This window comes from Homo sapiens, chromosome 12 (genome assembly GCF_000001405.40).
Source record: "Homo sapiens chromosome 12, GRCh38.p14 Primary Assembly".
NCBI classification, from domain to species: domain Eukaryota; kingdom Metazoa; phylum Chordata; class Mammalia; order Primates; family Hominidae; genus Homo; species Homo sapiens.
Window position 1 is genome coordinate 116,100,324 of NC_000012.12, and position 16,939 is coordinate 116,117,262.

The 16,939-nt window shown below is 37.2% G+C and overlaps 1 protein-coding gene across 8 annotated transcripts in view; it reads right to left on the reverse strand.

Moving 5' to 3' along the window:
• The window catches only part of MED13L (mediator complex subunit 13L), a 319,118-nt gene that overhangs the window by 141,748 nt on the left and 160,431 nt on the right, over nucleotides 1-16,939 (reverse strand). For 7 of the 8 annotated variants that reach the window (XM_047428608.1, XM_017019090.2, NM_015335.5 and 4 more), the window contains one exon: nucleotides 11,105-11,189. Coding sequence is in view for 4 of the 8 variants with exons in the window: in XM_017019090.2 (XP_016874579.1) it covers nucleotides 11,105-11,189 (85 nt within the window). In the remaining 4 variants the exon portion in view is untranslated. Of the gene's footprint in view, nucleotides 1-9,450; nucleotides 9,547-11,104; nucleotides 11,190-16,939 lie in introns of all 8 variants that reach the window. The other variant, XM_047428611.1, reaches the window with a different exon arrangement.

Sequence of the window (16,939 nt, forward strand, 5' to 3'; positions counted from 1 at the left end):
CACAGTGGCTCACCCCTGTAATCCCAGCACTTTGGGAGGCCGAGATGGGTGGATCACCTGAGGTCAGGAGTTTGAGACCAGCCTGGCCAACATGGTAAAGCCCCGTCTCTACTAAAAATACAAAAATTTACCCGGGTGTTGTGGTGGGCACCTGTAATCCCACCTACTCGGGAGGCTGGAGCAAGAGAATCGCTTGAACCCAGGAGGTAGAGACAGCAGTGAGCCAAGATCACACCATTGCATTCTGGCCTGGGTGAAAAGAGAGACTCCGTCTCAAAAAAAAAAAAAAAAAAAAAAAATTAATCAGCCAGGCATGGTGGCTCAGGCCTGTAATCCCAGCACTCTGGGGAGCCAAAGTGGAAGAACAGCTTGAGGCCAGGAGTTTGACACCAGACAACATAGTGGAACCCTGTATCTACAAAAAATTACAAAAATTAGCTGGGTGTGGTCATGCACACCTGTAGTCCCAGCTACTCAGGACTCAGGGAGCTGAAGTGGACAGATCACTGGAGCCCAGGAGGTCGAGGCTGCAATGAGCTGTGATGGCACCCCTGCACCCCAGCCTGGATGACAGAGTGAGATCCTGTCTCAAAAACAAAACAACAACAACAAAAATTAATGAAAGCCACTATAAATTCTGTCCTCAGAAAAAATGTGTGGAAGAGCAAAACATCGCACACAATTACACAGGGCTGGTCAACTACGAAGCATGTCCTTGGCTCTGAATTTCCATATTAAATACTACCACTAATGTCTATTAACCCTGCTTTGGCCAGAAATCTCTTTCTTCTCCCTTCTCCTCTAATTTGAATTCTATTCATTCTTTCTGTCCCGATCAAGCCTGCACACTACTCTAACATCTACAAATCAGCACTTTCACCACTGAGTTGTAATGATTAAGTTCTACAGCTTTATTCCCCAATAAAACTATCAGTTCTTTGGGAGTACAGACGGTGTGTGTCTGTCTTATCCACTGATAATATTCAACAAATATTTAAGTGCCCACTATGTAACATGCTTAAATGTATGCTCTATATTGGGAGGTGCTCAATAAATATATGAGAAATGAATGCCATATACCAAGGAGTATTTTCCTATTCATAATGTAATGCTGGCATTTTTCTTGTTTATAATCACTAATCACGGGTAGTCTTGTACTGTTATTTGAATTTTCTTATGTGTATGTATTCTCGCTAATGCAACAGTGGTGTTTGAGGGGAAAAAATCTACATATTTCAATTCTTTATAGCCCATCGTATCCCACTGAAGATTAAAATCATAGTAGATTCATAGACACTAAAAAATGTTTAGTATGACCAGCACTGCTGCCCAAATGCTTTAATGATATTTTAAAGAACATAATTTGCAAATCTTTTAATGACAGATAATTCTAAGATATAAAAGTTACATCAGAAATATAATTTCCCCTTTTTTACACTCTATCAAGCTTTGAGGGTCAAAATTTATACTTAACTTCACAAATAAATAAATCAAGCAGACACACTCCATCAGGCAAAAACTGTTTCAAATCAATATCATCATAAATAGTGCTAAGACTATATATCAATTAACCTTGGTTCTCTACTCAGTAATCCCAGTCATTATTATTGAGATTTTCTAAATGACTTCACTATCCAAATATGATATAATGCTGGAAAGTAGTACAATATTATCTGGCAAGATCACTGTGATGCCAGATTTATAAAATGGTCTTTAAGCAATAGTACTAGGAAATTATTTCTGTTCCCAACCCCCACCACCTCCCCAAAATCACTGTTTCAAAAAGAAAACAGCTGCTGAAAAATGAAAATGAAATCAGGCTGTGTGTATGTGTGTACCTAATGTTTCTGTGTCATGCCATATGGCTCTGAATAATTAAGTGCAAATGCAGCCTGATTCCAAAGTTGGCACCCCAAACTCTAATCCCAAAGCCACAGGCAGACCTGACGTAAGATTACAAATGTCACCAGAGCAGCCACAGCCTAGCTCGGGAAGCCATTTCCCAGATGAGACAGTTGGGAGGTATAGAAGGCAGCCCATCACTAGCTCTGTTCTTTTCTGTGCCCTTCAAATTATTTAAGTATGACGGTTTTCATAGGTTTCCCTACCATAATCTCAACAAAATTACATCTTCTGTTAATCATCGAGTTACAGAGCATCTCACATAGGCTAAATTTTACATTACTTCATAATAGAGTATCTCCACCAGCCTCAAAGCCTTTTGCTCACCATTCCAATCCAAATCAAATATATATGCAAAGAAGTCTCCTTCCTAGAAATTACAATGCTCCCAATCCCTAACCAAATAAAATAAACCTACATAATCAAGGGGCTGAAGAAACCTTTCCCGAGTAATCCCTATATTTTCTTTTTCTTTTTCTTTTTTCTTTTTTTTTTTTTTTTTTTTTTTTTTTTTGATACGGAGTCTCACTCTGTCACCCAGGCTGGAGTGCAGTGGCGTGATCTTGGCTCACTGCTACCTCTGCCTCCCAGGTTCAAGCGATTCTCCTGCCTCAGCCTCCTGAGTAGCCGGGATTACAGACGCGCCCCACCACGCCTAATTTTTGTATTTTTAGTAGAGACGGGGTTTCACCATGTTGGTCAGGCTGGTCTTGAACTCCTGATCTTGTGATCCGCCTGTCTCAGCCTCCCAAAGTACTGGGAGTAAAGGCATGAGCCATCGCACCAGGCGATCCCTATATTTTCATTACTTTAGGCTACTACTGTGCCCTAGTGGATACAGTCTCCTCTTGCCAAGCAAGCCCTATTAATCCCATCCTCTCTAACATGCCTGTCCGGTTAGCCTCTTTTACAGGCCTGGCCTCACCTGAAATGTCCATTCTAATGTAATTCCAAAAGCTTTATCTCTCCTCTAGTTTTAAACTTTTAATGTCTAATCTCATTCTCCAACTACCAAATAAAATTATGTACTTATTTATTTATGTTTAGAGACAGAGTCTCACTCTGTTGCCCAGGCTGGAGTGCTGTGGCAGATCAGAGCTCACTACAGCCTCAAACTCCTGGGCTGAAGCCATCCTCCTGCCTTGGCCCCACAAATAGCTGGGACTACAAGTGCACATGTCACCACAATCAGCTAATCTTTATTTTTTATTTCTTTAGTTTTAATTTACTTTTATTTTTATTTAGAGATGGGGGTCTCGCTTTGTTGCCCAGCCTGGTCTCAAACTCCTGGCCTCAAGCAATCCTCCTGACTCAGCCTCCTGAGTAGCTGGGCTTAGAGGCACAAGCCGCTGCTCCCAGATCAATTTTGTTTTTTAAATTTAAAGTCTTAATTCCTTCCCTTGACTGAAAAATATTCACTAAATAGCTACACAGACTGATTAGTCTCAGGGTGAATGTTTCTTTCTAGACATTTACAAATAGACATGTGCTTTCAGTCACTTGTTCTACGATATCTGTACTGTCTCTTTCATTAAAGTATATGCTCCTTAAGTCTAAAGACTCATTCTCCTACTTTCTTTAGAGAAATAAACACTGTTATTTCAATAAAATTGGTATTTATTGATTACTCATTTCTTGCTCCTGTTATCACATTATACCCAACGACTGTCAATGTTACATCACGATTTCTTCAACTAGGGCGGTACATCCCACCATGCTCCAGTGAGTATGTTATTCTGAAATCCCTTCACCACCACATCCAAGGACATTGCTCTTTTTTTTTTTTTTTTTTTTTTTTTTTTGAGACGGAGTTTCACTCTTGTCGCCCAGACTGGAGTGCAATGGCACGGTCTTGGCTCACTGCAACCTCCGCCTCCCAGGTTCAAGTGATTCTCCTGCCTCAGTCTCCCAAGTAGCTGGGATTACAGGCATGTGCAACCACACCTGTCTAATTTTGCATTTTTAGTAGAGTCAGAGTTTCATCATGTTGGTCAGGGTGGTCTCAAACTCCTGACCTCAGGTGATCCACCTGTCTCGGCCTCCCAAAGTGCTGGGACTACAGGTGTGAGCCATGTGTCCGGCCTCATTTGCCCTTTGATAATCACCTCTATTGCATCACCTCTATTACAATATCACAACACATTGAAAGATAGGAATAGACAAATATAATGCTATTGTTATCATAATTATAATTTCAATTTTCCCCACATTATTTTCACTGTATATTCCAAGTAAAATATCTTAACTCTAAACACTGAATCTTGGCAAACAGAGCAGCTCTGGGCCAAAGGCAATTTTACAGCTGTGTTATAAACTACCATGGGGTAAATATGCTAACAATCCATTAGTACAGCAGCACCAGCTGACTGCTCTGAAGAGCCATTATGTTTTACAAATGTCAGATACCCACAGATTAAAGTCTCCCTAAGTAAGTATGGACATGATTAAGCATAAAACAACTTCAAAAGACCCAAGTAATCTTCTCTTGTATGCAAAGCAATCATCTGCATTTCAGAGAAAAAAATGAGCTTTCTATTGAAATTAACATATATTTTATTCTAAAAAGTTAAGAAAATTTAAAGTATACTACTGCACATAATGCCAATTTGACAGCACTGTGTCAGACCTTTCAAGTATTTCTACACAGCTAGAAAAGCGAGATTTTCCTAAGTCCCATATGTGGTACAAATCACTGAAGCAATAAGAAAAACTCTTTTAAGTTTTTGAACTGCACATATTTTCCGGCTTTTTAAAACTTTTACATCCAATATTTTACTTTATTTTGATAGAGTTAGGTGAAAAGGATATGGTATATTATGAAAACTTATACTAACTATCCTAACAAAGTAACAGCCATTAGGTCTGCAATACTAAAAATGCCAAATGAAGAAACTCTTGAAAAATGATTGCAGATTTTTTTTCCCATCGTCTATTGATAGCCAAAGTACTTTTCCCTAAGGAGTGTGAGGCAATCTGAACTTAAAACACAAAGTGTAACCTTTGAGAAGTTAATCATAAATACCTAACAAAATTTCCCTAAATTGAGGACTGATAAAGAACAATCTCAACTGGTGCATTATTAGAAAGGGAGGAAGGATGGAAAGAAGTAGAGGGGACTAGCAGAGACTCTACATAAGTAAAAACTACATTTTATCATTCTGCGCATTTTATCATTCTGTGCATTTTTCCAACAAAAAAAGATAACTGATCATTAAGAAAATAGGAAGCACATTTACTTTTTCAAAAGCAAGGAAAAATAAGTGTAATTGCATGATCTAAAACTATAAAATTCAGAATGTATACTCTCAGATACTGAAATTCTGACAAATTACAAATAAAAAATGTACCAGAAGAAGCCAATAAGACTCAAAGTTTTAAAAACCAGGTATAAATATAGCCATAGGTATGTTTCAGAAACATATCTGTTTCAGTAACATAACTGGCCAGCTGTCTGGAAGACAGATTACAGTAACAGAACGGGAAGATAACTCAATTAATAGGTATGGCAGACATATTCTTTTCCCAAAGGTATACTATCCCAATGTGTATACTATATAAATAAATGCTATCCCTTCCTGTCCCACTGATATCAAGCTTGGCCATGTACCTTGGGTATCTTCCTACTGAAAGATGATACCTTGTTATGCATTAGATTTTAAGGTTGGTGCTGAATGTCTTGGCCAATGAAATGTGAGCAGAAATGGGATATACCATTTCCGAGCAAAAGCATTAATGAGCGACCATGTGCTCTGCCACTGCTCTGTGCTCTCTACCATGGGCCCACCAAGTCATACCCAGGAGGGTGCCCTGCCAACATGAGTTGTGGAGGGAAGAGGATATAGTACTATAATCAATTACTCACAATGAACATGCAACATGAGCATGAAATAAACTTCTATTGGATGAGCTAGTAACATCTTTGAGGTCTTCTGTTACTACAGCATAACTGAGCCTAACCTGACTGAATACTTCATAAAACACTTATGGTATCTTGAAGCAGGCCAAAATGAAGAGAGTGGGACCAACTGGATGGACTTCTGGAAGGCTGGCAAGAAAAGGTGGGGAATTCAATATTATATATTAAGAACCACAAACAAAGAACGAAAAATGCAGGAGGGTCGAGATATCAAAAAGGCCATCACATGGAAGCAGAACTGGTTGCGTTATAAATGATCCCAAAGAACAGAGTTAACGAAGAAATGAAAGTTAGAGGAAGACAGGCTTCTGCTCAGTGTAAGACTTTCTAATACTAAGCACTCTTTAAAGATAAAAAGAACTCTTTGGAAAACTGTGCTTACTTAACCAAAAGTATATATTCAGTAAAAAAGATATTATAAGGCTGGGTACAGTGGCTCACGCCTGTAGTCCCAGCACTGTGGGAGGCCGAAGTGGGCAGATCACTTGAGGTAAGGAATTCGAGGCCAGCCTGGCCAACATGGTGATACCCCATCTCTACTAAAAAATACAAAAATTAGCCAGGTGTGGTGGTGGGTACCTGTAATCCCAGCTACTGGGGAGGCTGAGGCAGGTGAATCGCTTGAAACCGAGAGGCAGAGATTGCAGTGAGCCAAGATCGCGCCACTGCACTCCAGCCCAGGCAACGGAGCGAGACTCTGTCTCAAAAAAAAAAGGGAAAAAAAAAAAAAGATATTATAGAAAGGGATTCCATGATTAGCTGGGTAAATTGACTATGTGACTTTTAATGTTTGTCTCCCACTCTGAAAAGGTAATACCAATACTTCTGTTAGCTAGTATCAACAACAGTTAACCACTTATTGAGCTCTTACAATGAGAAAGGTACTGTGCTGAGCCAAAGAACCCTTCACCATGTTACTGGTGAAGGAACAGGAGCTCAGCAGGCTTTAGTCACTGGCATGTGTCACACAGTTAACTGGCAGAACTGAGACCCAAAATATCTCTTATCTCTGAAGGAAGTGAAGAAAAGGACTTAAACAAACACGTACCCCCAAAAAGAGACATAAAATTAAAGCTAACTATGTTATCTTCTGTCTGATATCGTTATGGACAATGCTCTTGAGTAAGTAGCAGTGATCTTTTCGGTGTTTTTAATGGACAGATGACCCTAGCTAGATATATACAATGTAGTTTCAACAAATACTGAAAAGTTACAAAAGTAAGTGAAAGGTGAAAATATTTAAAGTCACATTACCATAGAATTTAAAATATTCTACACAGCATCAATATAAGATTACCTCAGCACCAATCAATAGCAATGACAAATGAAATTGTATTATTCTGTGAGAAATTTCCTTAATTTCTACAGTAAAATTGTTTTTCAATAACTCACTTCAGTGACATTATTCTGCATACAATAGAAATTGCAGCCTTTTGGAAAGAAGGTCAATTTATATGGCTCCTGCTTAGCTGTGAGAGATTCTCAATGTAGTAAATGAAATTCCCTTTTAATTAAACCTATCTTATGCTTAAAAAATAAAAAGCAGAAATAATAGATCACAATACAAACTTTGTTAACATGCAAACTATGGAAAAAATGGCTAGGGAGAGACACAAACACTCTCCAAGTGATAAAGTCCTTGATGATCTGTTTTAATATCCTCAGTTGGGCCGGGCGCCGTGGCTCATGCCTGCAATCCCAACTCTTTGGGAGGCCAAGGCGGGTGGATCACGAGGTCAGGAGTTCGAGACCAGCCTAGCCAATATGGTGAAACCCCATCTCTACTAAAAATACAAAAATTAGCTGGGCATGGTGGCACGTGCCTGTAGTCCCAGCTGCTTAGGAGGCTGAGGCAGGAGAATTGCTTGAACCTGGGAGGCGGAGGTTGCAGTGAGCCGAGATCGTGCCACTGCACTCCAGCCTGGGCAACAGAGCGAGACTCCATCTCAAAACAAACAAACAAACAAACAAAAAAAAAAAACCCCTCAGTTCTAGCTTTCAAGCCAGAAACTCACAATATCCACATCTTATCTGAATAGAAATGAAAAGGCATAACAGAAAATTGCCAGGAATAAGACAGTAAATAAATTCTCAATAAATTCATATTGTAAACAGGTTTTTCAAAGACTACAACAAATGGTTGTACAGGTATCCAACATTTTGGCTTCCCTGTGTCTCATCGGAAGAACTGTCGTGGGCCACACATAAAATAGACTCTAACATTAACAATAGCTGAGCTTTAAAAGAAAGGGGGGGGGGGCGCGTGGGGGGTGGGGGTGAGCTGTGCGTAATTTTCATGATATCCATCACCACAGATAAGCAAGCATATATTAGCCCTTCCAACTTCTGTTGACAATGAATAAACGGAGCCAACAACAATCATTTAAATTAGCTTTCCTATCTCATGAGCAGGGTAATTTTCATTCATAGAACAAAGTTACATTAAGTTTGATAAGAGAAAATTATTATCTTAAAGAACAACAGGATTAGTACCATTTTTCAAAAGAATCTGAAGTCATCCATAGAAACTATATGAAGATGGTTTGTTTGATCATTATTTTCTAAAAGAAAAGATGTTTTATTTGTTTCAAAATTGACTCCTGTAGGAGGGCTCAAATAGAGCATTCTGGAACTACTTTAATGAAATTTGAAAGAATACAAATCAAAGTATGTAAAATAAAAAATTTATGGTGAAAATAATTACTGACATTAACAGTATGTGAGGCATTATGTGGCACACATGATATATATCTATCATCTAGCAAAAGCTCAAGGTACATGGTGTCCTGTACTTAAATGTTAACTAAGGCTTAGTGAGATTAGGGTAACTGTCCAAGTAACAGACCCTGAAATGAAGCCAAGGAATAACCCAAAATTCTTTAGAACTATCCCAAACTTTATATGTCATAATTAATTTCCTTTTTTTTTTTTTTTTTTTTTTTTTTTGGAAACAGGGTCTCACTCTGTCACCCAGGCTAGAGTGTGGTGGCATGAACACAGCTCACTGCAGCCTCAACCTCCTGGGCTCAAGCAATCTTCCCACCTCAACCTCCCAAGCAGCTGTGACCACAGGAGCACACCATCATGCTCAGCTAACTTTTAAAATTTCTGTAGATACATGGTCTCACCATGTTTCCCAGGCTGACAATTTTCTTATAAATAATAGTTTAATTTGACCTGACTTCAATTTCCAACAAAAAAATTCTGAATTCATGAGCCATAAATAAATGAAATACCTGCATTTCCCCTCCCTCCCAGTTTTTCTGCTCTTCTAATTGTCTCTCGACAAAGAAACATGCTACCATTGCCAGTACAAAACTTAAAAGAATGTAATTCATTTTCGCATTTGTTCGTATTCTTCTGAAAGGAATAAATCATGATATTAAAAAAAAACACAGTGAGCTACAATTTTAAAATATACTTTGTTCACATACCTTGTAACTTTGTATAAAAAGAATTGTGCTTAAACGTGTGTTAATTATTGCAGAGATACCAAGAGCTTTATTCTGGTACAGGATTATGGCAACAGTAAGTTTTCCACATTTTCTTGGATAGAGTTTCTGTGTACTTTGTTTCGTTTTACAGTGGGAGACAGAATTACCAAATATTTAGAATACTTAAGAGTACTCAACTCTTAAATCAATGGTTCCACATGCATAGTACACCTTAGTAACAGATGATTTCTAGGTCTACTCCAAAAGACAGATTTGGAGGAACACTCAGAGGAGCTAAAGTTGAGAATGAGAAATAGAGAAATCTTCCGTCAGAAAAGTCTTTCTGAGTAGCTTAAATAACATATCAACTGTAGTTCAAGTGTCCTAAGCAGTTGTATTACAGTGGTAACCACCCTAGCCAATAGTTTGGATAAGAAACTGGTAAGTCCTCACAGCTTTGATTACCTGAAAGTACTACATACAGACTCAGGAAGAGACGTAAAAAGTTTTTCTCATACAAGCTCTTAATGAACCCATTCTTTCTCATCCACTTCTCCCCTCAAAACACTATTCAGAGCCTGGAACATATTGCTATGCCAGAAAGTAAGGGGATGCTCCAACGATGGGATCATGTCAAAAGGACATAGGAGCGAGCCATCACAAAGGGGCTTCCTCTGACCAAATCTGGAAAAATTTAAGCATCAAAATAAATGATGGTAAAAATCAACTATAATCCATTGAATAAAATAACAATCCATGGGTCCCAATTTACATAGCAAGATTAAATAAATAAATAAATAAATAAATAAATAAGGAAATAAAATGCAAGAAAATGAAAAAGCTCTTCCTTACAACAGGATGCCAACTAATAAAAAGTAGAAAGAATGGTGGCATTTGAAAATGAACAGTACAACCATAATGGTAATAAATGATTTAAGCAAGGACTACCAATATAGTCTAAAACAAATAAATGAAAATTTGATGAGAAATAGGATAATTATACAATCTCATTGTATCTGGCCACAAATTACATATTAATTACAAACACAAAATTGACAAAGATAACAGTTAACAAAATACTTATTAGTTTATAGCGGAGAAACTTGACAGAACATTACCTCAGTCAATTGACAGAACATGTTAACATCACTAATAATGGGACACTGACGATATGAGCCTACTGAAAACACAACATCACTTCTATGGTATTCCTACTACTAATAAAAAGCATAACCTGAATTTAAGCATGAGAAAACTATCTCAAACTGAAAGTCAATATAAGGTTTGAACTCATCAAAAATATCAATGTCAAGAAAGAAAAAAAAGGCTAAAGAACTGTTCTGGATTTAAAGAGACATGAAAACTAAATACAATGTATGATCATGGATTAATCTTAGGAGGTTAAGCTATAATGGATGTAACTGGGACAACCAATGACATCTGAATTGAACTACGGGTTAGATAATGGCATTTTATCAATGTTACATTTCCTAATTTTTATCATGATACTGTGCTAATATACCTTTGTCCTTAGGAAACATACACCAAATACTTAAGGGTAAAAAAGAACATCAATCTTGAGTTTACAAATATGCAAATGATTTAGGGAATAAATTTTAAAAATAAAAACTACCGTTGAAGGGCAGGGAATATGGGAGTTCTTTGTACCATTCCCAAAACTTCCCTAAATTTCAAATTATATCAATAGAAAGAGAAACTAAAGATTTATGTAATTTTCATACTAGCAATAAATCATTGCAAGTGAAAAGTTTTTGAAAATTACAGGAAACTCTCGGTATCTAGCAATATACTTGGTTGTCTGCAAACCACTGTCTGCTGTTCCTTCTCTTACCTTTCTAACAGATTGTGGATCGCTTTGAAGAGCAGCGTCCTACATTCATAGGAAAGGCCATTTTCCCAGAGTCCTTCTTCCACAACTGAAAAAAAAAAGAAAAAAGAAAAAAAAAGAACCAGTAAAAAGGACATCCAAATAAAAAGAAACTTTTAAAACATTTTTCTAAAGCAAAGTTCATGAGTTAATTTAAATGACTTAAATAATCTCACGCTGAAACAGAGAGTGGAATTTAAGTATTTGCCCAAAGTTAGAAAATACTTACGTACAAAAAAAAGTAATGTGTCTTGGTTTTAAAGTCTGAAATATGAGGCATGGTGTAACACTCCTCCCATAAATGTCTTTACAATCTGCTTCTTCAAAGTTTAAAATCATTTAAAATTCTCAAATTAATCTATTTAAGAGTATCGCAAAGACTAATTTTGTTAAAGTTCTATTGAAAGGTAAAAAGAATGTCACAAATTAATAGCAAAGTTATAAAATGTTTTTTAGAGGGAAAATCAAGAGGAAAAAAATTCCAAAAGTGTGAGATTTACACAAATGTCTTTACATGTTTTGAAGGTCTAAAGGACATGATTTTAGAGACTGTCAGGAAATTACATCTTCCCAGAACATCAAATTTATTTCCTGAATTTATAATTTTGTTAATGTTTGACATTTTGGGAAGTATCTTGTTTGCCTCTGAAATATATTATAACATTGAGCCACAAGTAACTCCAACACCAAAAGAATCCAACGTATTAACAATGCCCCATGCATTCCTAAAATTCCTTTTATTTTCATAAATATATAAACAGATACAAAATGTCCTAGAGAAGACAGTTAATTTCCTTTTAAATTACACTAGTTCAATGCAAGACAGCAAAAAATTGGAAGGATGAAAACAACATTTACAGAAGAAAATTTCCTCTCTTTTACTTGTTATCTTGACAAAAGCACTCAGAGGAGAAAATTCTGACAGAATTAAAACACACATGATATCCACAAGGCATGTTTAATGCTTTTACCACACCAGTAGACATACCAAAATGCATCTCCATATTCTCAAATCAGACAGCATTTGAAAAACTACACATTCAGGCCTTTTATCTTCTATTAGACTTTCTGAAAATTACAAAGCTGAATTTTTTTTTCTTGGTTATGTCAAATAACTTTTTGTCTTCCTGCCTATGTGGCTAATCCTGATTTACCAAATTTTCCCAAAGCAATCTCTGTCTAAAACAGTTATGATATTTATAGCAAGAGAAATAAAGTACAGCAAACAGAAAAACATTCCTGCTAACAAATGATAGTCTTTGCTTAAGACAGAACATTCCGAAATTTCCAACAATGCTCTGCAGGTATCATGAATCTATGTTCCCTCTGACACATTTATCCTTTGGGTAGAATTTTTCTGGGTTTGAAAAAGAGCTAATATCTCAATAGAAAGAACACCCCACATTAATTTGTTTTTATTTCCTACTGTGTTTCACTGACCCTAAGGCACCATCAAGTTTGAGATACACCATTATTTTGCAAACCACCAGGAGAAGAGGGGAAGGTGACAAACTATAACATCATTCCTATCACTTACAATTTTTACCTTCCAATTATTCAAAGAGCTCCTTTAAACTTATTGAGTCCTAGTCATCACATTCCATTATTATGCATACATAAAACAGATAATATAAGCAAAATAAATTAGTTAAAAATTCCTAACTACATCAATATTCCAAGTCTACCTCTTCTGAATCACTCTTCAACCCAGTCACTGGTGCAGTATCTTCCTACATAATCATCCTCTGTGCCATAAAGAGTGCTGGTGATGCAGCACTTGTGAAGAGTGTGCCACTTTTATTTCCATAATTTTCTTCCACTGGTGACACCTATTCGGCACATTGTTTAAAACTTCTGATATTAAAATCTCCAAATATACTTGAAAATAGGGGGCTGGATGTGGTGGCTCACAGCTGTAATCCCAACATTTTGCAAGGCCGAGGCAGAAGGATTGCTTGAGCCCAGCAGATCAAGACCAGCCTGGGCAACACAGCCAGTCCCCATCTCTACAAAAAAAAAAAAAATTATATATATATATAAAATTAGCCAGGTGTAGTTGTGCACGCCTGTTGTCCCAACTACTCTGGACGCTGAGGCGAGAGTATTGCTTGAGCCTAGCAGGGTCAAGGTTGCGGCAAGCCATGATCATGCCACCACTGCACTCCAGCCTGCGTGACAGAGTGAAAGCCTGTCTCATAAAAAATAAATAAAAAGGAGGGAGGGAGGGAGACAGTGAGTGGAGGAGGAAGAGGGGAAGAGGGAGAGAGGAGGGGGAGGGGAAGAGGGAAAGGGGAGGGAGGGGTAAGAGGGAGAGGGGAGGGAGGGGGGAAGAGGGAGAGGGGAGGGAGGGGGGAAGAGGGAGAGGGGAGGGAGGGGGGAAGAGAGAGAGGAGAGGGGGAGAGGGAGACAGAAGGGGGAGATCGATCAAGAAGGGAGAAGAAAATAGAATAACAAGTCCCAATAAATTCCTAAGCCAAATAATCAACATTATGTCTCCTGCTGCAACCACCCTTTTTGTTTTTATTTTGATATACTTTATGGCAAATCCCACTCCTAAATACTTCAGCGTGCATCAAATCATATTCTCAGCAAGGTCTGCCAATTCTCTCTTAAGTCTTCTTTGATCAAGTACAGCCCTTTTCCTTTTTTTTAAACATGCAGTTGACTTGGTGAAGAAACCAGGTTACCTGTCTTAATATCTCATATTCACATCCAATTTCTTCCTCATGATATCATCATTTTACAAGTTTTAATAATGGTGTTACCTTGACCTTGTCAGAGGATGTCAAAGGAAAGTTTACAAACAACAAACTCCCTCTAATTATTCTCAAATACTTTGTCAACTGAAATACTGAGGTGTTAACAGCTCTCCAGGCATGCGCTGTGGAACACTGAACAATTAATGAGCATGCACAGGCAATGCCAGCTTTACCACAATTGCTGTATAGCTGACACAATTTTAATACACCATTAAAATTTTATCCTGATTTCTACAATTTTAAAATAGAACCCAGAAGAGACTTTCTTCTTCAAACAAACAACAACAAAAAAAACTTGAGAGTGATTAACCAAAACCTACAATTAACATCATACTTAGTGGCAAAAGACTGAACGAACGGTAAGGATGTCTGCTCTCACTACTCCTATTCCACATTATACCTGAATTTCATCCAATACAATAGGGCAAGAAAGAAGAAATAATCGTCTCTATTTACATATGACACGACTGTCTATCAGAAAATCCTAAAGAATTAACAGAAAAAATCTACTAGAACTAAAACTGAGTTTAGCCAAATCACTGAATACAAGGTCAACAGACAAAAAACTATCACATTTCTATATTTAGGAATAAATAATTAGAAACTGAAATTTTTTAAAGTACCATTTACAGTAGCACCAAAACCCATAAAATCCTTGGGTATAAATCTTACAAAATATGCTAAAACTACAATACTAACAAACGAAATAAAAAAGATAAATAAATTGACCACAAAATAGAAAAATTCTTGATGCCAATTCTTCTCAAAACAAACTACAGAATCAACTCAATTCTAATAAAAATCCCTGCAGGATGTTTTATAGAAATAGCTGAGCTGAGTCTATATATTTATATGAAAAGACAAAGGAACTAGAACCACCAGAACAATGTGGTAAAAGAAAAATACAGAAATACTTACGTCAACCGAGTTCTAGGTTTAGTATGAATTAGGATAGAGCAAGCAAGCCAGCACAGTACTGTAGAAAGGATACACATCAATAGAACTGAGTTCAAAAATTGAGCCACAAATTCATTTTTTTTAATTCAACAAAGGTGCCAAGGCAATTCAGTCAATTCAGTAAAGGAAGAAAAGAAAAAGAACCTCAAACCATATAGAAAAAGTAACTCAAAATGAGATCACAGACCTGAACGCAAAACCTAAATCTAGTATTTCTAAAAATACATAGGAGATAAATTTTGGGAGCTTAGGGTAGGCAAAGATTTCTTAGATATGACACCAAAAGCATGATCCATAAAAGAAAAACTGATAAACAGAGTTTCATCAAAATGAAGAACTTTGGCTCTTCAAAAAATATGGGAAAGTTATGTTAAGCTATGGAAAAGACATGCCACAGATGGGGAATAAACAGTTACAAATCACATATCTGACAAGGACTTGTATTCAGAATACGTTACTTTTTTTTTTAATCTCAAAACTTAACTACCAAAAAAAAACAATTTTTTAAATGGGCAAAAGATTTGAACAGACGGTTCACCAAGTAAGACTAGATGAATAGCAAATAAGTATATGAAAAAGTGCTCAACACCTCATTAGTCATTAGGGAAATGTAAATTAAAATCACAATGAAACTTCATTATCCATTAAAATGGCTTAAAAGAAAAACTGACAATTCTACGTGCTGATTAACATATAGAATACAGTAGCCAGAACTGTCATATACTGCTGGTTGGAATGCAAAAACAGCACAGCCACTTTGGAAAAGTTGCCTTTGGCGATATTTTGTAAAGTTAAACATACATTTACCATACAACCCAATATCCCGTTGTAATATGACAATATCCCGTCGTAATATTGTGAAACACATATTTGGTCCTGTTTCCTGACATACAGCTCCTAAAATCCTTGAAATGTCTAGAGGGCTAAGAATGGTTTTTGTACACTAGTGGCTAAAGAAATGACAGGTGGCCTAGATAGCCTCAGGATGAGGGCTGATTATCAGGGAAATAATCATGTGACCAGAGGGTTAGAACTTTCTATCTCAGCCCCCTATTCCCCAACCCCCACCCTGACTTCTAGGGAGAAGCGCTGAAAGTTGAGTTGATCACTAATGGACAATTAACAATGATTTAATGAATCAAACCTACATGATTATATAACGAAGCTTTCATAAAAACCCAAAAAGACTGAGTTCTGAGAGCTTCAAAATAACTGGACACATGGAGGTTCTTGGAGGGTGGCGCACTCAGAGAAGGCATGGAAGCTCCTGCCCCTCTCTACATAACCTGCCCTATGCATCTCTTCCATTTGGCTGTTCTCTGTACCCTTTGTAATAAACCAGTAAACATAAGTAAAGTTTTCCCCTGAGTTCTGTGAGCCATTCTAGCAAATTAACAGAACCCAAGGAGGGGGCTGTGGGAACCCCAGATTTATAGCCAATTGGTCAGAAGCTTTGGAGGTCCAGACTTACTCCTGGCATCTGAAGTCCCACAGTCCTGTGGGACTAAGCCCTCAACCTGTAAGATGGGATGCTATCCCCAGGTAGACAGTGTCAGAATTGAATTGAATTAGAGGACACCCAGCTGGTGTCCCCTGCAAAACTGATTAATTACCTGATGTAGGGGAAACACCTGCTCTCCACCTCTGCAACATTTGGTCACAGAAGTGTTTTGTGTTGTGAGAGTACATGAGAAAAAGAGTTTGTTTTTCCCTAGAACCTTACATCCTTCTAGGTATATACTCAAGTTTGGAGGATGTAAGGTTCTAGGAAAAAACGAACTCTTTTTCTCCTACTGTACTCTCACAACACAAAACAAACTACAGCAAATGTATATAGTAGTTGTATTTGTAAATGCCAAAAACTGGAAACCATCCAAATGTCTCTCAACAGTGGGAAAAACAATGAAATATCTATACAATGGGCTACTACTCAGAAATAAAAAGGAACTTCCAATACAAGAAAAAATATGGATGAATCTCATTATGCTAAGTAAAAAGAAGCCATACTCAGACTATGTGCTGTATGATTCATTCATATGTCATTCTCGCAAAAGGCAAATTTAAGGTACTGTAAACTTCTCAA